The sequence below is a fragment of the Homo sapiens genome, chromosome Y, assembly GCF_000001405.40.
Source record: "Homo sapiens chromosome Y, GRCh38.p14 Primary Assembly".
In the NCBI taxonomy this organism is placed as follows: Eukaryota; Metazoa; Chordata; class Mammalia; order Primates; family Hominidae; genus Homo; species Homo sapiens.
The window spans coordinates 13,839,888-13,865,454 of NC_000024.10; the positions used below are offsets into that span (position 1 = coordinate 13,839,888).

At 38.2% G+C, this 25,567-nt stretch overlaps 1 pseudogene; it reads left to right on the forward strand.

Annotated features, from left to right (window-relative positions):
- Window positions 1-25,567, forward strand: part of ANOS2P (anosmin 2, pseudogene) — a 168,317-nt pseudogene that overhangs the window by 88,182 nt on the left and 54,568 nt on the right.

Sequence of the window (25,567 nt, forward strand, 5' to 3'; positions counted from 1 at the left end):
TCATTCTTTGTGTAGACCCCAGTGTTCATCTGTTATCATTTTCCTTTTGTTTTTAACATTTCTTGTAATTGGGGTAGCTGTTATGAATTCGCCTTCTGTATATCTGAGGTAGTCTTTAAGGCAGCTTCAGTTTTGTGTGTGTGTGTGTGTGTGTGTGTGTTTGTGACATAGTCTCGTTCTGTTGTCCAGGCTGGGGTGCAGTGGTGCAATCTCGGCTCACTGTAAACTCCGCCTCCCGGGTTCACACCATTCTCCTGCTTCAGCTTCCTGAGTAGCTGTGATTACAGGGCCCTGCCACTGTGCCTGGCTAATTTTTTTGTATTTTTAGTAGAATGTTAGTGTTAATGAGGATGGTCTTGATCTCCTGACCTCGTGATCCACCCGCCTCAGCATCTTCAGGTTTTAAAGATATTTTGTGAGTATGAAATTTCAGGTTGATTTTTTTTTAAAAAAATAGTATTTTAAAGATATAGTTTCATTTTCTTCTGTCATGCATATTTTCTGAAAAATCTTTGACATTCTTATTCTTGTTTTACTGTTTATGAAGTGTCTTTTACTTTTCTATCTGCTTTGAAGACTTTCTTTCTGTATCTGGCATATGAAGAATATGATTAAATATACTTTGATTGAATTATCTTTGTTTCTTCTGCTTAGGGGTAACTGAGATTTCTCTAACTATAGACATAACATTTTAAGCAAATTTTTAATTTATTGTTCAATATTATTTATTTGTCCCATTTTCTCTCTTCTCTCCTTCTGGGACTCTAATGATACATATTAGACCAGCTTGTTTTGTTTCATGGGTCAATGAGTCTATGATCTTTTTGTTTGTTTGTTTGTTTGTTTGTTTCTTTTTGGTCATTTTCCACCGTCTGCTTCATTTTGATGGTTTTTTTTGTTTTGTTTTTTGTTTTTTTTTTTTTTTGAGATGGAGTTTTGCTCTTGTTGCCCAGGCTGGAGTGCAATGGCATGATCTCTGCTTACCGCAACCTGCGCCTCCCAGGTTCAAGCAATTTTCGTGTCTCAGTCTCCCAAGTAGCTGGGATTACAGGCATGCACCACCACACCCAGCTAATTTTATGTTTTTAGTAGACAAGGGGTTTCTCCATGTTGGTCAGGCTGGTCTCGAACTCCCAACATCAGGTGATCCTCCCACCTTGGCCTCCCAAAGTGCTACGATTACAGGCATGAATCACTGCACCCAGCCCATTCTGATAGTTTTTTTTTTTTTAATCATTGTGTCTTTGCTTTTCTTTTAAGTAATCTTGTCTTCTATAGTGTCTAATATTTTAAAAATTCCATTTGGCATGTTTTTCATTTCTTCCTTTTTACGTTTGGAAGTTCTACACAGCTCTGTTCTGTATCTTTCATTCCTTTCCTCCCTATGTCCATGTTTTCCTCTACATTATTGGGAATATGGAGCATATTTATAATAGCCTTTAAATGTCCTTTGCTGTTAATTTTATCATCTCTATAATGTCTCGTCCTGCTTCTGTAGATCTTGTTTTTCCCACTTTGTTTATGTGCCACAATTTCCTTCTTATTTGCACAGTGAATTACTTTTGGTTGGATCTCAAATTTTTGGGTTTTGAATTTTGCTATATCTTTCTAGAAAGCTTTAGACTTTGTTGTAGCATGTAATTAAGTTCCTTTTGAGATAATTTTTTTTTATTTTGAGGTTTCTTTCAAGTTTCTTAGGGTAAGATTAGAGTAACCTTTAGACTACGCCTAATTTATCCCATTACTAAAGTGATATCCTTCTGAGGATTCTAGCCAGCGCTTCATGAGTTGTGCATTCTCTCCACGTTGACTGTTTGAAATGTGGTTAGAATGGTTTCCTTTACTGATGTCTGGTTGTTCTTTCCTTAGACTTATGCAGTTTGAAGCCATGCACATTAAGGTCAGTATTCAGCTAAAAATGAAGAGGTCCCTCTGAACCTCTCCAGGTTTCTCTCTTCATGCAGTATCATCCTGCTTGATAGTCTACCCACAAGAGCTGGCCATCTCAGCCTCAATCTTTAGTCTATTTCTCCACAACTTGAAAATATGGCAGAACTATCTTGGGATCAGCCTTCCTTGCACTGTAGATTTGAAACTGCATCAAAATCATTCATTTTTTGGCAAAATTGAAATTCATCTCATTTGTGTCTTTTTAGGTTTTCTTGTCTTGTGCCAACTATTGTCCAATGTCTGAAGAAAGTGGCTGCATACAAGAGGCCTTCAGAAAGTTCATGGAAAAATGTAATCAAAAGCTAAAAATAAAACATATAAACTTTGTTTCCCCACATAAGCTCCATCAAGCTTTGATGTTACCAGCCAATTAGTCCATCCCTAAAAAACTGAGTGTTCTGGGAATTTAAACATGTCGATGTAGGTTTTGAAAAATATCATTCACTGAAGAAAAATAGGTGCCCTTTAAAGATTCTTATAAGAACAGGAAACAAAAACAAGTCAGAAGGAGAGAAATCAGGACTGTAAGTTGGATGCCTAATGATTTCTCATTGAAATTCTGGCAAAATTTCTTCCCTTTGATGAGAGGAATGAGCAGGGGCATTATTGTGGTGGAAAAGGGCTCCCTCTTGAAGCTTCCTTGGGCATTTTTCTTCTAAAGCTTTGGCTAACTCTCTTAAAATACTCTCAAATAACATATATCCAATGTTCACTTTTGTGCAAAGTTTTAGTATTAAAATGAGATGGAATTTGGCTCATTACATTGAAAGGTGAACTGTAAGACTATACAAAGTTTGTGCACAGCCTCTATAAGTTAACTGAAACTGACTTATGGTCTGCACTTGCTTATCAGAAAATAATCTTCGTAAGGCCAGTCTTCTGTCCAATTAGAGAGTTGTAGAGGTCTGAGTTGTAAACTAGAGTTACGATAGCTGCGATTGTTGACAAGTTCAGCTGTAGGAACTTAGAAATGTAACATGGCAACCAGGCCCTGAACCGTCTACCCATAGGTAACTTGGGTTATTTAACCTTAGCGTACCTCTCAGTTGATAAAGGAACATCTATTTTGGTCTCTCAGGTCATACCCACTAGGTCCCAATAACACCTTCCTTCCAGTTGTGAGGGATAACAATGTCTCCAGAAATTATGTAATGTCCCCTGGGAACCAGTCCCTTAACTTTTGGAATTTGCAGTTTCCCTTACTTGTTCATAATGAGGAAATGATGTTCCATTTGCATTAGAGTATTAGTCTGTTTTCATACTGGTATAAAGAACTGCCCAAGACTGGATAATTTATGAAGAAAAGAGGTTTAATTGACTCACAATTCAGCATGGCTGGGGAGGCCTACGGAAACTTACAACCATGGTGGAAGGCAAAGGGGAAGCAAGGCAGCAGGAAGGAGAAGTGCCAAGTGAAGGGGGAAGAGCCCTTATAAAACTGTCAGATCTGATAACTCAATATCATGAGAACGGCATGGGGGAAAGTGCCCCCATGATTCGGTTACCTCCACCTGGTCTCTCCCTTGACACATGGGGATTATGGGAACTACAATTCAAGATGAGACTTGGGTGGGAACTCAAAGCACAGCCATGTCAATTAGTTTGTATTTCATTTTGTGATGATCCAACCAGTCCAATAGTGATATAATACAGTAGTGTATAAACAAAGAAATAAGAAATTTCAAGGAAGATCTCTAAGAAGGTAAAATATGAATCACTTTTCTTTTTGTAACTTGGATGGATGTGATGAGTTTGTAGAATTTGACCATGTTTGTGAAATTATTTGAGATGGTAACCTATTTGAAACTGAATAATATGAATCAAAGAGTAAACAAGTATATTTGACAACTTTATAATTTACTCCTCTTTAAAAGAAATTACTTATCTGAGGATTTTAGGCCATCTATAATTAATTTATATGTATTCTCATTATTTCTTGTAAAATTTCTACAACTGTCTTTAAAAATTCTGATGCTAATAAAGGTGGCTAGCACTGATTGCACCTTTATATTGCACCTTTCTTATGTGCTAGTATCTGTGCTATGTGTTTTGGATGATGTATTTAAGGCTTAGGGTAATATTTTATCCTCCTTTTATATTTGAAGAAACTTACACTTGCAAAATTAATTTGGCCCCTAAATTATATAGCAGTTATCTTACGAATTTGTCATGCTCTGAAGGGGACGTGCTGTATTTGTTTCTGTTCCCTCTCATTTGCTATTTCTGTTCTTTGTTTCTGTTCCATCTTTCTTCAGTTTTCCACATCACTTTTACCTCCTTAAATCATTTTCAGTATTTGTGACTCTTCTTTAAAGCTTTGTGTTTGTCTAATTATTTGTTGATCTCATGCTTATATCTGTAACTTCCCACATGTACCATTATTATAATGCAAACTAAACTGTTATATGATTTTTACCTGTTTGGTAGTAAATGTGTAAACTGTAAGCATAGTGGGTCATCATTTTCACAGTTTTATCTGTTCACCACTAGATTCCTAGTACCTAGTACCTAGAATGCCAGTTTGGTCTATAACAATATACAAATGGTTCAGTGGGCTGAACATTGCATTGGCATTTTGATAATTACTACTAACAAATGCAGAAAGTAGGGGAGGGAAAGAAATCATAGTTTAACTAAAGTACCCAAACCATCCCTAATTCTCTGGGATTTGTGAACTTCTTGAACTATTATGTGCCTCATGATATTCTAGAAATCTTTCAGTAAGATTCTGAAGTGTTGCTGACTCATACAAGTTGACACATTTGTTTTCAAAATAAATAGAAAAGCTAGGCCAAGAAGAAGGAAGCCAAGATAAACATAAGTAAAGATTACGATAATTGAAAGAAGAGGGTATGTACTTGTAGAAAAGCGACTTCCCTAATATGCATGTTTCTGATTTTCTCCTAATTTTATATTATTCATGGCCAATGTCTATAATTTGCCTGGGAATCCAATTAATTGCAATCACATCTAACAAAATGGTATTTATAATTGGGTTTCCAAGCAAATTATACTAACATTTCTGAGCATAAATTAGTAATATTTGAATGGATTTTTTTTTTTTAAATTTCATGCCTGCTTAGTGTTTAGATGCCTTCTTTGAAAGAGACACCTGGCCGTTTTGCTTACTTTTTTAAAAGTATACTATCTTTTTTTTTTTTTTTGAGGTGGAGTTTCATTCACTCTGTTGTCTGGGCTGGAGAGCAGTGCCACAATTTTGGCTCACTGCAACCTCCATTTTCAGGTTGAAGCTATTATACTGCCTAAGCCTCCCCAGTAGCTGGGATTACAGGTGTGAGCCTCCACACGTGGCTAATTTTTTGTATTTTTAGTAGAGGCATGGTTTTGCTATGTTAGCCAGTTTGGTCACAAACTCCTGGCCTCAAGTGATCTGGCTGCCTTGACCTACCAAAGTGCTAGGATTACAGGCATGAGCCACCACACCCAGCCAAGTATACTATTTTGTTTTTAATAGAAACTATACATGCCCATTAAATATTAATAAAACAAACTGCACAGAAAAGTAAAACCAAACCATCACTCCAGATTTACCACATAGAAACAGCCATGGTTTACCAGGCAGGAAAGTGTTAACACAGCAAAGCCAAGACTGCAATCCTAATGCCTACTTAAATGGCTGGCAACAGGCCAGCTCCTGGAAGCTTTGTGCACACTAGTTTCAAATAAATGCTTAAAGTTTAATATTACTTGAAGGCAAGAGAAGACAAAGAACCCCCAAAATATTAGAAAAGATTATAAAAGACATTATAAGGTTGGAATTCTTACTCTTTGAATTCCATATTTGTTTTATTATTTACTAATGTTCTAATATTAAGTTCATGATAAGTCACACACATATGTTTTCTCCACACTCTTTCCACCTATCAGTTTTTCTAACATATTATTGTTTTAAAATTCTTAATTTTATTACAGCAAATTCTCTCTCCTAGCCATCATTCTTATTTTATTTAATTTCAGTTTCATATTTATGTGTGTAGAAATGTGATTACTAATTTTACTAATTCTTTTCCAATTTGTTTATTCTTTATTTTGTAGACGTAATTTTTTTTTCATTTATTTTCTTTCTTTTTTTTATTATTATTATGCTTTAAGTTTTAGGGTACATGTGCACAATGTGCAGGTTAGTTACATATGTATACATGTGCCATGCTGGTGTGCTGCATCCATTAACTCGTCATTTAGCATTAGGTATATCTCCTAATGCTATCCCTCCCCACTCCCCCCACCCCACAACAGTCCCCAGAGTGTGATGTTCCCCTTCCTGTGTCCATGTGTTCTCATTGTTCAATTCCCATCTATGAGTGAGAACATGAAGTGTTTGGTTTTTTGTCCTTGCGATAGTTTGCTGAGAATGATGATTTCCAATTTCATCCATGTCCCTACAAAGGACATGAACTCATCATTTTTTATGGCTGCATAATATTCCATGGTGTATATGTGCCACATTTTCTTAATCCAGTCTATCATTGTTGGACATTTGGGTTGGTTCCAAGTCTTTGCTATTGTAAATAGTGCCACAATAAACATACATGTGCATGTGTCTTTACAGCAGCATGATTTATAGTCCTTTGGGTATATACCCAGTAATGGGATGGCTGGGTCAAATGGTATTTCCAGTTCTAGATCCCTGAGGAATCGCCACACTGACTTCCACAATGGTTGAACTAGTTTACAGTCCCACCAACAGTGTAAAAGTGTTCCTATTTCTCCACATCTTCTCCAGCACCTGTTGTTTCCTGACTTTTTAATGATTGCCATTCTAACTGGTAAGAGATGGTATCTCATTGTGGTTTTGATTTGCATTTCTCTGATGGCCAGTGATGGTGAACATTTTTCCATGTGTCTTTTGGCTGCATAAATGTCTTCTTTTGAGAAGTGTCTGTTCATATCCTTTGACCACTTTTTGATGGGGTTGTTTGTTTTTTTCTTGTAAATTTGTTTGAGTTCATTGTAGATTCTGGATATTAGCCCTTTGTCAGATAACTAGGTTGTGAAAATTTTCTCCCATTTTGTAGGTTGCCTGTTAACTCTGATGGTAGTTTATTTTGCTGTGCAGAAGCTCTTTAGTTTAATTAGATCCCATTTGTCAATTTTGGCTTTTGTTGCCATTGCTTTTGCTGTTTTAGATATGAAGTCCTTGCCTATGCTTATGTCCTGAATGGTAATGCCTAGGTTTTCTTCTATGGTTTTTATGTTTTTAGGTCTAACATTTAAGTCTTTAATCCATCTTTAATTAATTTTTGTATAAGCTGTAAAGAAGGGATCCAGTTTCAGCTTTATACATATGGCTAGCTAGTTTGCCCAGCACCATTTATTGAACAGGGAATCCTTTCCCCATTGCTTGTTTTTCTCAGGTTTGTCAAAGATCAGATGGTTGTAGATATGTGGCATTATTTCTGAGGGCTCTGTTCTGCTCCATTGATCTATATCTCTGTTTTGATACCAGTACCATGCTGTTTTGGTTACTGTAGCCTTGTAGTATAGTTTGAAGTCAGGTAATGTGATGCCTCCAGCTTTGCACTTTTGGCTTAGGATTGATTTTGTGATGCAGGGTCTTTTTTGGTTCCATATGAACTTTAAAGTAGTTTTTTCCAATTCTGTGAAGAAAATCATTGGTAGCTTGATGGGGATGGCATTGAATCTATAAATTACTGTGGGCAATATGGCCATTTTCACGATATTGATTCTTCCTACCCATGAGCATGTAATATTCTTCCATTTGTTTGTATCCTCTTTTATTTCATTGAGGTTTGTAGTTCTCCTTGAAGAGGTCCTTCACGTCCCTTGTAAGTTGGATTCCTAGATATTTTACTCTTTTTGAAGCAATTGTGAATGGAATTCACTCATGATTTGGCTCTCTGTTTGTCTGTTATTAGTGTATAAGAATGCTTGTGATTTTTGTACATTGATTTTGTATCCTGAGACTTTGCTGAAGTTGCTTATCAGCTTAAGGAGATTTTGGGCTGAGACAATGGGGTTTTCTAGATATACAATCATGTCGTCTGAAAACAGGGATAATTTGACTTTCTCTTTTCCTAATTGAATACCCTTGATTTCCTTCTCCTGCCTGATTGCCCTGGCCAGAACTTCCAACACTATGTTGAATAGGAGTGGTGAGAGAGTGCATCCATGTCTTGTGCCAGTTTTCAAAGGGAATGCTTCCAGTTTTTGCCCATTCAGTATGATATTGGCTGTGGGTTTGTCATAGATAGCTCTTAGTATTTTGAGATACGTCCCATCAGTACCTAATTTATTGAGAGTTTTTAGCATGAAGAGTTGTTGAATTTTGTCAAAGGCCTTTTCTGCATCTGTTGAGATAATCATGTGGTTTTTGTCTTTGATTCTGTTTATATGCTGGATTACATTTATTGATTTGCTTATATTGAACGAGCCTTGCATCCCAGGGATGAAGCCCACTTGATCATGGTGGATAAGGTTTTGGATGTGCTGCTAGATTCGGTTTGCCAGTATTTTATTGAGGATTTTTGCATCAATGTTCATCAAGGATATTGGTCTAAAATTCTCTTTTTTTGTTGTGTCTCTGCCTGGCTTTGGTATCAGAATGATGCTGGCCTCATAAAATGAGTTAGGGAGGATTCCCTCTTTTTCTATTGATTGGAATAGTTTCAGAAGGAATGGTACCAGTTCCTCCTTGTACCTCTGATAGAATTCGGCTGTGAATCCATCTGGTCCTGGACTCTTTTTTGTTGGTAAGCTATTGATTATTGCCACAATTTCAGATCCTGTTATTGGTCTCTTCAGAGATTCAGCTTCTTCCTGGTTTAGTCTTGGGAGAGTGTATGTGTCGAGGAATTTATCCATTTCTTCTAGATTTTCTAGTTTATTTGCATAGAGGTGTTTGTAGTATTCTCTGATGGTAGTTTGTATTTCTGTGGGATTGGTGGTGATATCCCCTTTATCATTTTTTATTGTGTCTATTTTACTGTTCTCTCTTTTTTTCTTTATTAGTCTTGCTAGCGGTCTATCAGTTTTGTTGATCCTTTCAAAAAACCAGCTCCTGGATTCATTAACTTTTTGAAGGGTTTTTTGTGTCTCTATTTCCTGCAGTTCTGCTCTGATTTTAGTTATTTCTTGCCTTCTGCTAGCTTTTGAATGTTTGCACTTGCTTTTCTAGTTCTTTTTATTGTGATGTTAGGGTGTCAATTTTGGATGTTTTCTGCTTTCTCTTGTGGGCATTTAGTGCTATAAATTTCTCTCTACACACTGCTTTGAATGTGTGCCAGAGATTCTGGTATGTTGTGTCTTTGTTCTCCTTGGTTTCAAAGAACACCTTTATTTCTGCCTTCATTTCGTTATGTACCCAGTAGTCATTCAGGAGCAGGTTGTTCAGTTTCCATGTAGTTGAGCTGTTTTGAGTGAGTTTCTTAATCTTGAGTTCTAGTTTGATTTCACTGTGGTCTGAGAGACAGTTTGTTATGAATTTCTGGTCTTTTACATTTGTTGAAGAGAGCTTTACTTCCAACTATGTGTGTTCAATTTTGGAATAGGTGTGGTGTGGTGTAGTACTGAAAAAAATGTATATTCTGTTGATTTGGGGTGGAGAGTTCTGTAGATGTCTATTAGGTCCGCTTGGTGCAGAGCTGAGTTCGATTCCTGGGCATCCTTGTTAACTTTCTTTCTGATTGATCTGTCTAATGTTGACAGTGGGGTGTTAAAGTCTCCCATTATTATTGTGTGGGAGTCTAAGTCTCTTTGTAGGTCACTCAGGACTTGCTTTATAAATCTGGGTGCTCCTGTATTGGGTGCATATATATTTAGGATAGTTAGCTCTTCTTGTTGAATTGATACCTTTACCATTCTGTAATGGCCTTCTTTGTCTCTTTTGATCTTTGTTGGTTTAAAGTCTGTTTTATCAGAGACTAGGATTGCAACCTCTGCCTTTTTTTGTTTTCAATCTGCTTGGTAGATCTTCCTCCATCCTTTTATTTGGAGCCTATGTGTTTCTCTGCATGGGAGATGGGTTTCCTGAATACAGCACACTGATGGATGTTGACTCTTTAACCAATTTGCCAGTCTGTGTCTTTTAATTGGAGCATTTAGTCCATTTATATTTAAAGTTAATATTGTTATGTGTGAATTTGATCCTATCATTATGATGTTAGCTGGTTATTTTACTCATTAGTTGATGCAGTTTCTTCCTAGTCTCGATGGCCTTTACATTTTGGCTTGATTTTGTAGTGGCTGGTACCGGTTCCTTTCCATGTTTAGTGCTTCTTTCAGGAGCTCTTTTAGGGCAGGCCTGGTGGTGACAAAATCTCTCAGCATTTGCTTGTCTGTAAAGTATTTTATTTCTCCTTTACTTATGAAGCTTAGTTTGCCTGGATATGAAATTCTGGGATGACAATTCTTTTCTTTAGGAATGTCGAATATTGGCCCCCACTCTCTTCTGGCTTGTAGAGTTTCTGCTGAGAGATCCGCTGTTGGTCTGATGGGCTTCCCTTTGTGGGTAACCCGACCTTTCTCTCTGGCTGCCCTTAACATTTTTTCCTTCATTTCAACTTTGGTGAATCTGACAATTATGTGTCTTGGAGTTGCTCTTCTCGAGGAGTATCTTTGTGGCATTCTCTGTATTTCCTGAATCTGAGTGTTGGCCTGCCTTGCTAGATTGGGGAAGTTCTCCTGGATAATGCCCTGCAGAGTGTTTTCCACCTCGGTTCCATTCTCCCTGTCACTTTCAGGTACACCAAGCAGACATAGATTTGGTCTTTTCACATAGTCCCATATTTCTTGGAGGCTTTGTTCATTTCTTTTTATTCTTTTTTCTCTAAACTTCCCTTCTTGCTTCATTTCATTCATTTCATCTTCCATCACTGATACCCTTTCTTCCAGTTGATTGCATCAGCTCCTGAGGCTTCTGCATTCTTCACGTAGTTCTCGAGTCTTGGCTTTCAGCTCCATCAGCTCCTTTAAGCACTTCTCTCTATTGATTATTCTAGTTATACATTCATCTAGATTTTTTTCAAAATTTTCAACTTCTTTGCCTTTGGTTTGAATTTCCTCCTGTGGATTGTAGTAGATTGATCGTCTGAAGCCTTCTTCTCTCAACTTATCAAAGTCATTCTCCATCCAGCTTTGTTCCGTTGCTGGTGAGGAACTGTGTTCCTTTGGAGGAGGAGAGGCACTCTGCTTTTTAGAGCTTCCAGTTTTTCTGCTCTGTTTTTTCCCCATCTTTGTGGTTTTATCTTCTTTTGGTCTTTGATGCTGGTGATGTGCAGATGGGTTTTTGGTGTGGATGTCCTTTCTGTTTGTTAGTTTTCCTTCTAACAGACAGGACCCTCAGCTGCAGGTCTGTTTGAGTTTGCTAGAGGTCCACTCCAGACCCTGTTTGCCTGGGTATCAGCAGCGGTGTCTGCAGAACAGAGAATTTTCATGAACCGTGAATGCTGTTGTCTGATCGTTTCTCCGGAAGTTTTGTCCCAGAGGAGTACCCGGCTGTGTGAGGTGTCAGTCTGTCCCTATTAGGGGGTGCCTTCCAGTTAGGCTGCTCGGGGGTCAGGGGTCAGGGACCCACTTGAGGAGGCAGTCTGCCCATTCTCAGATCTCCAGCCGCGTGCTGGGAGAACCACTGCTTTCTTCAAAGCTGTCAGGCAGGTACATTTAAGTCTGCAGAGGTTACTGCTGTCTTTTTGTTTGTCTGTGCCCTGCCCCCAGAGGTGGAACCTACAGAGGCAGGCAGGCCTCCTTGAGCTGTGGTGGGCTCCACCCAGTTCGAGTTTCCCAGCTGCTTTGTTTACCTAAGCAAGCCCGGGCAATGGCGGGCCCCCCTCCCCCAGCCGCACTGCTGCCATGCAGTTTGAGCTCAGACTGCTGTGCTAGCATCAGCAAGACTCTGTGGGCGTAGGACCCTCTGAGCCAGGTGTGGGATATAGTCTCCTTGTGCGCCATTTCCTAAGCCCATTGGAAAAGCGCAGTATTCGGGTGGGAGTGACCCGATTTTCCAGGTGCCGTCTGTCACCACTTTCCTTGACCAGGAAAGGGAACTCCCTGACCACTTGTGCTTCCCAAGTGAGGCAATGCTCGCCTTGCTTCAGCTCGTGCATGTTGCGCTGCACCCACTGTCCTGCACCCACTGTCTGGCACTCCCTAGTGACATGAACCTGGTACCTCAGATGGAAATGGAGAAATCACCCATCTTCTGCGTCACTCATGCTGGGAGCTGTAGGCCAGAGCTGTTCCTCTTCGGCTGTCTTGACTCCCCCCCCCACCTTTTTTTTTCTTTTGAGAAGGAGTCTCGCTCTGTCACCCAGGCTGGAGTGCAGTGGCTCAATCTCCACTGACTGCAAGCTCTGCCTCCTGGGTTCAGGCCATGCTCCTGCCTCAGCCTCCCGAGTTGCTGGGACTACCTGTAAATTTAATTTGTATCTTTGTTTTCAAAAAGGATCTACAGATGGTGTTTTCTTTCAGTTTGTGCATGAGAAATTTTACCTACAGTTATATCTGAAGTATACTTGGACTGGACAACTTTCTTCCTTGTATAAGTATTACTTTATTTTACTATGGTACTAGCCCATTTGTTCCTGTTTTCTGTTTATGGTAGAATGGCCAGGTTTTGCCATTGCGTGGTACATAGTGCCCCCTGCCCTTCCTCCCAAAAAACACACACACTCACACAGAGTTTATTTTTCTCAGAATTATATAGACATTGCTTTGTTAGCTTCATACACTAAGTTTAGTAGGGAGACATTTGGTAGCAATCATATTTTCTTTCCCATAATCAGTTTGCCTTTTTTACCTGGATGCCTGAAAAATGATAGTTTTCCCTTTGGAGTTCAGAAGCAGAAGATACATTCCAGTGTTGCTTGTTCTTTTCAGTTATTCCTAGAACATAACCTGCCCTTTGTTTATTTGTTTATAGTTTTTTCTGTTTAATTCCTTGATAGTTCTTTTTTTTTTTTTTAGACAGAGTCTCATTCTATCACCCAGCCGGAGTGCAGTGGTGCAATATCAACTCACTGCAACCTCTGCCTCCCAGGTTCAAGTGATTCTCCTCTCTCAGCCTCCCAGGTAGCTGGGATTATAGGCATGCACCACCATGCCCAGCTAAGTTTTGTATATTTAGTAGAGACAGGATTTCTCCATATTGGCCAGTCAGGTCTTGAACTCCTGACCGCAAGTGATTCTTGATATTTCTAGTTTATTTCTTAACTTTATGGTTTTTTTTTCATATTTTACATTTTTGTTTTTAACTCTCTTCTATCCCCTTTCATCTCATTTCATTGTCTTACTATCTTGTCTTCATGCTCTTATATATAATTGTACTAGCAGGAAATAGAACATGGACCACATATATATCTCTTGTCACACATGTTTTTATTTACCATAAAATTGATGGGTATTACACACATACTGATTTGAATAAGTCCTTTTCCAATATTTTCACATTCCTCTTAAGTCTCTAAACAATTAACTTTTATTATTACATGAAATTTTACATGCTTAATGATCATACTTTTATGACACTTAAATTATCTTTGTTCACAGGATTTCCTACTGGAGACCAATTTATACATTTTCTTTATATTTAGAGTATTAATATTCACACAGCATTTTCTCTGACCTGTGCATATTTCTCTCCTTATTCCATTCAGTTAGTAAATTCTCATTAAACTATGATTAATGACCTAGAGAGAGACCTTGTGTACACATATCGTATGTTCTCTAATTTATATCCTGACAAATAATATTTGTTAACCTAATCCAAGAGAATTATGGAAGATAATAGACAGCATCAAAATTTGCCTTTGATACAAATAAACAAAGAACAGTTAAATAAAGCTCCTCTGTAAGATTCCTGTAGCAAATCCACACTACTCTAAGATGAACTTCATTTAATTATGTGTTGCAATTTCTTAGATGCAGATTCCAGTGCTTAATCTGGAAATAGTAGGTTGGATTCTAGTGGCTGGACACACCGTAGAAAAATGTAGAGAATACCTTCTGTCTTTGGATCTCTTAAAAATTTTGTCAGTATGCCAGAAGAAATTTGAAATGTTCAAGGGTAAACTTGTAACAGTGGAAAAAAGACACAAATTACTTAACTCTTATTGAGTATGTATTGGGGGCCAACTATGCACAATAGTCTCTAGATCTTTGTGTGTGTTACTTCATATAATATTCATAATGTAACCTGTATTATTTCAAGATTATATACCTGTCCATAAACCTTGAGTGCAAAGATGAATATATTTGTTTCTATGATCCCCAAAATAATCATAAAAAACATTTTTGAATTCTTACCAAAAAGGAAAAAAATGAATATCCATACAAAACAACTCTCATATCGACTAGAAGATCTAAATTGTTGGGCTAATTATGATCATTCTCCTTTTCTGGTCATTGGGAACACATGCTTCATAACTGTTCTAGCTCACTGTCTTTGTTTATTATTTGTATTTACGTCTGCCCCAGTAGTTCAGTAAGTAATGAAGATAAGGAAGCACGGCTTCTGTTTTCCTGTCTCTCAAAGTTCAAGAGTGTGGCAGTTGGCATATAGATAATTAGAATAACATATGAATAGAGGATCCAAACTTTATCTGACTCTTGACTCATGCTCTTTTTTCGTAGGTGAAGAATTATGAACTGAGTTGATTTCATTATATATGATGCAAACTAAGTCTTTGTGATTTCCAAGTTACCAAGCAGGAAACAAATATTTCTACTTGGAAATCTCAGCCCTGAGGCAGTGGCCAGTGATTTTGGTAACTAAGTATTTTCTTTCAGTGCGTATAATGTGTACGTTTTGTTGAAAGAAGAAAGTTGGCAAATACTACACAATTGTCACAAATCTGTTAGCATATTTCTTTGATTACTTAGATTTGAAACTAAATTTAGAACTTCAAAACTCAGTGAAGTAAAACACATCTAACAGCTAACAGAAAAATGAACTGTAAAAGAGAGTACGAGAAAAAGCCTTGAGAATTGATGATGCTTTAAATGCTTGTAAAGTTTCTTTTTAATTACTTAGCTGCAAATTTGTCATAACTCAATAATGACACCATGACTTTTCTTCTAAGCTTTAAAGTTCTTAAATTGAAAAGTAATTTTAGGACAGCCAATTCATGTTATTTTCACATTTTATAAATGATTAATAACTAACAAACATCTTTATCTTATACCTACAATTGCAATTCAAAACTTGAAATTATACTTTTTCTAGCTAGTATTTCTACCATTTTCCTTTTGTTAATTAATCTAAGAAAAGAACAGGCATTTAATTGTATTTAACTTGTAATGAAGTACTGTTGCTTTGTCATCCATTAAATTTGCAATATCAGAAAGATTATTGTCACTACCAAACAATAGTATTTGGTGCTGCACACATTCTCATAGTATAAAAACTTTCTGTCCATTTTATTTATTTTTTTAATTCTGGTAAAATGCAAATAATATAACATTTGCTGTCTTAACTCTTACATATATTTTAATTCAACATTGTTTGGGAAAAAGAACCATGTGAGACTGTGGAGAATAATTTACGTTGAAATTGTAGTTATCCTGGGATTACTCAGATATTCCCTTGTGAAGTTATGTTTTGAGTCTTCAGTGGCATTTCCAGTCATCATCAACATGAGAATCATAGACTAAAATTAGTGAACTAGCTATCTTTTTGGAAAAGAGTTAGAAACATTTGTCCTCCCAATCTCCCACCTCCCATTAGAGACTTTGATAATGGTGAGGTGGTTTTCTTTTCTTTTCTGTTTTCTTTTCTCTGCTGTTCTTTTTTGTTTTCTTTTCTCTTTTTTCCTTTTTTTTTTTTTTGTTTTTTTTGTTTTTTTAAGATGGAGTCTCTGTCATCAGGCTGGAGTGTAATGGTGCAATCTCAGTTCACTGCAACCTCCACCTCCCGGGCTCAAGCAATTCTTCTGCCTCAGTATCCTGAGTAGCTGGGATTACAGACATGTGCCACTGCACCCAGCTAATTTTTGTATTTTTAGTAGAGACAGTGTTTCACCATGTTGCCCAGGCTGCTCTTGAACTCCTGACCTCAGGTGATCCACCCGCCTCGGCCTCCCAAAGTGCTGCCACCCAGGATTACAGATGTGAGCCACCATGCCTGGCCTTGTTTTGTTGTTTAATTAATATACCTCTACCATTGTGTGAAATACTCTGGTTAATATCGCAAATCTTTCACCATGTCTTTCCTAGATAACCCCCTGTCTCCAGGGTACCTAGGTGCCACCAGACACCTATCTGACTAAAGAGTCATGCTCATTTAGCAGTGAGGAGTAGCTGGCAGCATGCTGCCAGGTTTAGTAAGTGTAACCTGGTGGTAGGGAGTTATATTCAACTACTGTTGAGAAGCAGCAGCAATACATGGGCAGGACTTACCAGGTGTTTTCCAGGTGTTGCCAAGGCATTACCAGGCAATGGTAGGGATGACCCAGTGTTACCCAGGTGTCATGATGGTGCAGAGCCATATTTAGTCATCAGGGAGGAGCAGCAGGCAGCACACAGGCGAGTGTTCCCAGGTATCGTCCAGGTGTCACCCAGGTGTTTCCAGATGTTACCAGTAATGAGCCCTGGTTAGGGATCACTGTGGAGCATCATGCAGAATGCTGGTAGTGAGCTGCATGATGTTCCTATTCTCCCCCTGGACTTGTGTTCACCAAAGCCACCACATTTATTTCTTATATTCCTAAACCTGTTGTGACATCACATAAACAGAAATTGTCCTCCTTGCTCATCTTCCACTTCCAAAGTTGGGGAACCATGGCATTTGCATTGGTTCAGGTAGCCTGAATTGTTGTCACAAATGGAGCTTGACATGTACAATTGTTCAAAACATGCATACTTGCTTTTTTGCCCATGGAGCACTTTAAGGCACAATTCCCGGCAGGGTGCTGTCTTCCTCCATGTGGGCAGACAGTATCCTGGCATCTCTCCTCTTGTGGCCCCACCAGTCTCTACAGCTGTGGCACCACCCACATCTTGCTAATAAGAACATGGGGGTGCCACCCCCTACCACCTGCAAGCCTTGGTCCACAGTGGCACAGAAGTTTGCTGATTACATTCCATTCATGACAACATGGCCACCCCTAGGTAGAAGAAAGGCAGTGAAATTTAACCTGGCTGTGCACAGATGTTCCACATGAAAATGCATTTTGATAGGAGAAAATGCCTCTTTGATGGGATAAAAGAAAGCAAACACATCTATTTTGTCAAACATTCAAGAAGACTTCATGTGTCTTTAATGGAATAGTAGTTATCATGGAAAGCGTCTCCCATAAGGATAAAAGGAGGCTTGGGGTAAAAGTTAAAGTTATGGTGTTCATCTTTTCTGCTATCTTCTATAAAACAAAAAGGTAGTTAAGGTTAGGGCTGGGGCTTGTGGAGCTGTCTTGACTGTTGTCTTCCTTAAAGAAAAAAGAGGGCAAGAGCACAGAGAGCATCCTTCCTCTTTCTTTCCCTGGGTGGGGCAGCTTTTAGAAGTCTCAGCAACTCCTCCATTCCATGGCAGAAAGAAGCCATTATCTTCTGATTGCAGGGATAACCAAATGCTTTTTCCAACCATTTTTTCCTAATGAAAAAGAGGCATTTGAAAAATGGCTCTTTGACATTACTAACACTTTTTAAATAATACATTCCTCTAATAAGTCCAGGGCACGCTATTCTCACTAATGGTTGATAGATTCTGGGCTCAACCAAAATGTCCTCAGCAAGATGCTGTTCAAATCCCAACTATTTTACAGATAACATAGGTGTGGGCTGATTTTTAAACCAGATTCACATTCTTTTACTGCACAACTGATTGACAATTTCATATTCACAATAAAGACTGGAAATTATTGAAATATGTTCAATTAGGAGGCCTAGACAACTGTACTATATAATACCAACAAATATGTTACCATTGTGAGAACTGTAAAGTTTTACAGAACTACTGTTATTTTGATGAATATTAATATATATGAAAAAATAACCAGGTGTGAAGGCTCATGCCTGTTATCCCAATGGCTTTGGGAGGCTTAGGCATGAGGATTGCTTGAGGCCAGGACTTGAGACCACCCTAGGCAACATAGCAAGACCTGATCTCTATGAAAAATAAAAATTAGCTTGGGATGGTGGTTTGTGCTTTTAGTTCTATTTTGCTGGGAGGCTGAGGCAGGAGGATTCCCTGAGACTGGGATTTCAAGGCTGCAGTGAGCTATGATTGCACCACTGCACTCCAGCCTGGTGATAAGGCGAGACCTTATCCATAAAAAAAAAAAAAAAAAAAAGAAAGAAAGAAAAAATTAGGGAGAGCGGCTTGTTATAAAATGAAAATACATGTAGTCTATATAATCCAAAAAGGACCCTCAAGTTGTACTGAACAGGTTATTTATAATCAGTTTTTTTGACAAACATCTTGGAACCAAGGTGGAATATGTGATCTGTGAATGTGAGTGCATATACACAGTGTGTGTGTGTTGCATACAACATAAAATAACCACTCATGGATTATATTCCTTTGAGGAATCAGCATAAATTGTCACTTTGATAGGAGAAAACCAATATATGTATTTTGTCAAACATTCAAGCAAAAGCTTGATGGGAAAAAAATGTATAACTTCCTTTCAGATGCCTTGGAAATCAGACTTTGTGTCTTTAATGGAATATTTTTAAAAAATTCTTTTTTGACTTAGCCTCTTTTCCCCAAGGAGAACTATGAATGCTTTACCAGTTGTGAGTTCCTCAAATACACCCTGTTGGTGAAGCAGGGGGACTGTCCAGCTCCTGAGAAAGCCAGTGGATTTGCGGCCGCCTGCGTTGAAAGCTGCGAAGTTGACAGTGAGTGCTCTGGGGTAAAGAAATGTTCTTTGAATGGGTGTGGACCCACCTATCAAGTACCCAAGACTCTGTACAAAGATAAGGGGCATTACTGGGGGTGTGAAGAGACATGCAGTGCCACAGAAATCTGTGTGTGCCTAGGGAAGGGTGTCCATTGTAAGTGTGAAAAGTCCACAAAACATAAAATCTTAAGAAAATGTATTTTATATCATATACAGACATCTTAACATATTCATGGACCCATAAATATTAGCCATATTAACTGGACTTGGGGTAAAGCAAGTCATTCATATTAATTCTTTTTAATTTGACATATGCGATGGACAGCAACAATTCAGGAAGGTTTTTGTCTTTATTTGTCTTTTCTCTAGTCAGACTGATTCAAGTAAGCTCTACTGGGTACATTGGAGTAATAAATTGATTGAAATCCCTGGAAAATAGGCTGGGAGATACACACTTGAAAAATACACTATAAATATAATGGTGTTGTGCTTTTTCTGCTGACAGAATCCAAGAACACTAGTGTCATTGTACAGATCTTAAATATTTTGATTAGTACCTTGAGATTCTAGACAATGGAGTTCAATTTATCAAACAGCTTAGCAGATGCAATAGTTTATATTCAAAAGCCATTTCTAGAGCACTTAGCTCCTTAATATCAAGTGCTACTTGTCATTTTCTGTAAGTGGGACTAAGCTCTTTTTTTTTTTTTTTTTTCCTGAGATGGAGTCTCACTCTGTTGCCCAGGCTGGAGTGCAGTGGCACGATCTGGGCTCTCTGCAAGCTACACCTCCCAGGTTTAAGCGATTCTCCTGCCTCAGCCTCCTGAGTAGCTGGGACTACAGGCACCCACCACCATGCCTGGCTAATTTTATGTATTTTTAGTGGACATGGGGTTTCACTGTGTTAGCCAGGATGGTCTCGATCCCCTGACCTCATGATCCACCCTCCTCAGCCTCCTAAAGTGCTGGGATTACAGGCATGAGCCACCGTGCCTGGCCTAACCTCTTTTTTTTTCTAGTTGAGATGGTGTCTTGCTGTGTCTCTCAGGCTAGAGTGCAGTGTGCAGTGGCACAGCCTCAGCCCACTGCAGCCTCCCCATCCCAGGTTCCAGAGATTCTCCTGCCTCAGCCTGCCAAGTAGCTGGGACTACAGGCATGCCCCACCATACCCGGGTAAGTTTTGTGTGTGTGTGTGTGTGTGTGTGTGTGTGTGTTTTGTTTTTGTTTTTTTTGTTTTTTTTTTTCAGTAGAGATGGATTTCACAATGTTAGCCAGGCTTGTCTTGAACTCCTGACCTCAAGTGATCTGCCCGCCTCAGCCTCCCGAAGTACTGGGATTACAGGTGTGAGCCACCACATCTAGCCAGGACTAAGGTCTTTTAAAAGCCAAGCTGATTCCATTGTATTATGTATAGTTTGAGATACAATCAAAATACACTATGTCATATAACGTTTTGTTAATTTTTTGGGTCTCATAAAGAGTAATATAGAGCAGCAGTCCCCAGCCTCTTTGGCAACAGGGACTGGTTTCTTGGAAGACAATTTTACCTTGATCGGGAGAGGGGGCAGGGGATGGTTTGGGATGATTGAAACACATTACATTTATTGTCCATTTTATTTCTATTATTATTACCTTGTAATATGTAATAAAATAATTATACAACTCACCGTAATATAGAATCAATGGGGGCCCTGAGCTTGTTTTCCTGCAACTAGATGGTCCTATCTGGGGGTGATGGGAGACCATGATAAATCATCAGGTATTAGATTCTCATAAAGAGCACACAACCTAGATCCCTCACATGTGCAGTTCACAATAGAGTTTCCGCTTCTGTAAGAATCTAAAGCTACTGATGATCTGACAGGAGGTTCATGTGGTAATGTGAGTGATGAGAAGAGGCTGTAAATATGGATGAAGCTTTGTTCACTCACCCACCACTCATCTCCTGCTATGTGGACTTGTTCCTAACAGACCACAGACTGTTAGACCACTACTCAGAGGCCCAGGGGCCGGGGACCCCTAATATAGAGTCAGTCAGCAGGCAGTATTCATTAAAGTACAGAGATTAATAGATGCCTTTCCCTCTTTGTGTCTTTCACACACATATGCCAAATCCATATTGTTTCTAAATACTGGTAGTCTTTTAAAAAATGTGTGTAAAGCAGTATTCATCAATACCAGCTTTGAGTTATGTGCTGACTGCCTATTTTTGGAAGTCCGTGTTACTCTAACACTCATTCACATCTCTTAGAAGTTAGGTATTTATCCCATCTTCTTTTAGCTCTCACTTGGGAATATTCTTCTCTGAAATCTATGTAATTCATCCAGTGTTTTTTCTTTATTATTGGAAACATGCCATAAGTAGTGTGTCTCACATTCTAAATAATCGCTGCTTTTCTCTTCTTACCAAGTAATATTTCTTTAATAGTTTTAAAGTTTTATTGTGTTCATGCCTCTTTCTTTAAACTACAGCAAATCACTTTTGCAAAATTTAAAACCATCTAACTTCTAAAGCATCTGTCATTATGAAATCTTATTTGTCATTAAAGATTATGCTATGTATGAGTAGCATTCACCATAAAAATAGGATGCTTTTGGAATGGTCTTTTTAAAACCAGTTGTAAAACCTGTAGTGTTTTAAAGAGATAATATAAATTAAAATATGCATGTTTATAAAAGGATTGAAGAGTTAGTAGGAATTTCAATTCTGCCTGTTTCACTTGAAAATAAAGGGAATAGTAGAAAGGACCGGAATAAATGATTAAGTATAAAAAGACACTTTCAGTGTAAAACTACATTTAACAAAACTGGATGGACTTTTGTTAAAGTACTGAAGTCACTCTTCTACAACAAATTAGCTCTTAGATTTTTGTGGTGAGAGAGAGAGAGATAATCGATGGGAATCAGCTACAAATAGAATAAACAGACTGTTGACCTGACAATGACTTTTGCTTAATGAAGACCATCAAGTCAATAGATTGTTGTTTTGCAAAAAAGATATATATGTGCAGGTAGATATTTTTCTCTTGCTTTCTTCAGCAGCCCCTCAAGGAAGGCTGGTTTTCATGTCCTAGGACCTTTGACAGTGGCTCTGAATACGTTAGTTTGTGTAAAACGAGGGCAAATAGAGCCCATAGCAACTCCTTCACCATCTTAGCTAATGAGCCACTTGAAGTCCCTGTTGCCATTCCCAACCTGGAGTCCAGCTGCTTCTTCACTCTCAGAAGAGGAGAGGAGGTCAGATATCCCCAAGCCCCAGGGAATATGTCCATTCCAACCCATCGCTTGGCTTTGCGAGGTGAAAACCTGTGCGCAGTCATCACAGAAACCAATCTTGCAATCTTAGGATACTCGTGATCACTGTCTTTCCTACTTCCAAGATGCCTTCTTATTGCTCCAAACAAACTAATGTGAAATAAGATTCCCCCTTTCTCTCTGTCTCTGCTAGGTCTGTGTAATTGCTTTCCTTGATAAGAGTGAGAGTCATGGTGTGTTGAGATTAACTAGTCCTGCTCTCTGTTCACAGCTGCTGAAACTGTTGCAGGCTATGCCTAAGTGATTTTGGTAGTAGGTAGCAGAAATAGATTTAACATCTGTTCTTACTTGGGCTAGCTCTCCTGTCATTTTTAGTTTGAATCTATGGAGCCCTAATAAAAACATTCACTGAGCATCATTGCATTATTATATGATAGGCCAACTAAGGTCTGGTACAGTGGCTCACCCCTTTAATTCCAGCACTTTGTGAGGCTGAGGCAGTAGTTCAGGAGTAGCCTGAGCAAGATGGCAAGACATTGCCATCTCTGCAAACATAATAAAATTAAACAGGCATGGTAGCATGTGCCTGTAGTCATAGCTACTTGGCAGGCTGAGATGGAAGGATCACCTGAGCACAGGAATTCAAGGTTACACTGAGCCATGATCATGCCACTGCACTCTAGTCTGGGCAACAGAGTGAGACCTTGTCCCAAAATATATCTATATCTATTACATATCTGTCTCTCTAATAGGCCAACTAAAAGATTTGTCAATATAGAATATTTTTAATCTAAAAAATTACTACTTTCTGAATCATTTTAGGCTAGTGAATAATGTGGGATTGTTTTACATTTTAGAGATGAAGTGTATAAAACTAGACACAGAGTGTGCTATATGGAGAACCAAATTCTATGGGACAGATTGAAAACCTGAAGTTCCTTCTTAGCTTCTCATTCATTAATTAACATGTATTAAAGTGTTGTTGAATAGTGCTGTTTGGAGATTCAAAATAACATTTTCTTAACATTTTCCATGGTTTACATTTGTTTGTTTGTTTTTTTGAGATGGAGTCTTGCTCTGTCACCCAGACTGGAGTGCAATGGCACAGTCTTGGCTCACTGCAACCTCTGCCTCCTGGGTTCAAGTGATTCTCTTGCCTTAGCCTTCTGAATAGCTGGGATTACAGGCACACACCACCACACATGGCTAATTTTTTGTATTTTTAGTAGAGATGGGGTTCCACTATGTTGGCCAGGCTGGTCTCAAACTCCTGACCTTTTTATCTGCCCACCTCAGCCTCCCAAATTGCTGGGATTGTAGGTGTGAGCCACCATGCCCACCCACTGGTTTACTTTTAAAAGGGGCTGCTGTCACATGCATGGAGAAGTATTGGCACATTTCAGTTGAATACATGTTCATGGAGTGCCTACAATTTGCTGTCATCTGTAATTGGCATTGGGGTGCAAGTATACATGTGACACCAGCCTCCACATGGTCCAGTAGTTTATTACTGAGATTGTCATTAGCACAATACTCTTTAAGTGGGCAAATTGTTTTCCTAACCTTTAAATATATTGTCATTTACCAACCTCTGTACTGTGTTTACTTTTATTACTTATTGAATTAATATTTAAAAATATTTTTAAATTATAAAAACCCATACATACTTTCTGTTTAGTCTGCTGTATTTGTCAAAGGGTAAATGGAAAGTACTGATTTTATAGCTTCAAGAGCTTTATATACTGGTCTCTTGAGTTTTTAAAAGCAATGAGTGTCTTGAAATGATGATCAACAAAATTTCATATTATATATGTGTGTGTGTATGTATGTGTGTGTGTATATAAACATATACATATTTTTTGAGACAGAGTCTCACTCTCGTTGTGCAGGCTGGAGGGCAGTGGCACAATCTCAGCTCACTGCAACTTCAGCCTCCTAGGTTCAAGTGATTCTCCTGCCTCAGGCTCCCAAGTAGCTGGGATTATAGGCATATACCATCACACCTGACTAATTTTTGTATTTTTAGTAGAGATGGGGTTTTGCCATGTTGGCCAGGCTGGTCTTGAACTCCTGATCTCAAGTAGTCCACCTGCCTTGGCTTCCCGGAGTTCTGGGATTACAGGCATGAGCCATCGCACCCAGCCTCCTATTATATTTGAGCACTGAATTTGAGTTACACCATAAGAACCGCGCTTGACCGATGGCTGGAAGTAAGTTAATCTTCATAGACTAGTGTTATAGTTTAAAACAAACAGCAGAGATCCTTTCTTTTACTTTTTAAATAAAATTATTAGCATCAAAATGAAGGGTTGGAAATATTAACACGATTGGAGATGCCTGCTGGTACTAGTTCTATGAAATGCAAACCTTCATATAGTTGTAGAAAGTTTAAAAGGCTTATCTTCTACAGGTAGAACACAAATGAGTGCATTTGGGGGCACTTCCTTTTTCCTTTCTATTTCTATTACTTTCTAAATCTATTTTATGGCTTGGTGAGACAATCTTTCTTCTAGAGGGTGTGTGTTTTACTATTTTGCTGCCAAATCCCATGGCCTCCCTTGGCTTCTAACTGTGGCAAAAATGGTTTGGGCAGGGAGAGAGAAAAGTTAAAAAATTTTACAAATATAAAGATTGAGACTAATTTGTGGCTTGCAGTTATGTATATCTTCCTTTGATGTCAATCTGTTTATTTTCAAACAGACCTGATCATAGAGTTTATTTAATATTTCCACAAATAATCAATATGTAAAATATTTAAACTTCATTTGTATAAATAGATTCAGTTGTATAATGAACCCAATTGTATAAGTGGATTTATACAACTTCTCACAAATAAATTTTCAACAATTTTGAATTAAGTGGCCCAATACCTTAATGTGTTATAAATACAAATTCTAGGTTCTAATTACCTTTATAAGAGATATCAAGTGGTGATTAAATCACTATAACAATAGATCTTGCTACATTTTAATATCATTTAGACTCATGATAAAAAATTAATAGTAATAGTAAAATCTCACAGTGAGTATGCAACTGTGGATTGCTTATCCTAATTGATTTTTCTATTCATATATTTTCAGCATTTTAAAAAAGCATTGGCTTTCTGCTCTTGATTTCACAGAATTTTTTTTGCATTTTAAAGAAAAAAAAGTGGATGTTACATATTGCACATGCCATATAATAATGTCTGTAAATTTTTCAACAGAATAGTTTAGATTTCAGATGACTAATTTGTCCAAAAATAATTTTAAAGAGAAAAATGCTAATCATTTACATAATAGAAAATATATTGAGAAGAGATCCAGTCTACACATCTGGTTATGCAGTTGGGATGCTGGTTAGCCATTGAGTACTGTGTGTACTGGCAGTGAGGGCTGGAGGTCTTGAGAGGGGCTGAGCCTCATCTGCTCACAATTCTAGCAGAGTGCCAGAGCTACTTCCAATCAAAGGAGCCAACTGACCTTATTGCAAAGCAGGTGGACCATTTCTTAACATGCGTATTTCAGGGTCATGCTTCATTATAATTAAAGAGATTTTTAAATGAAGAAATT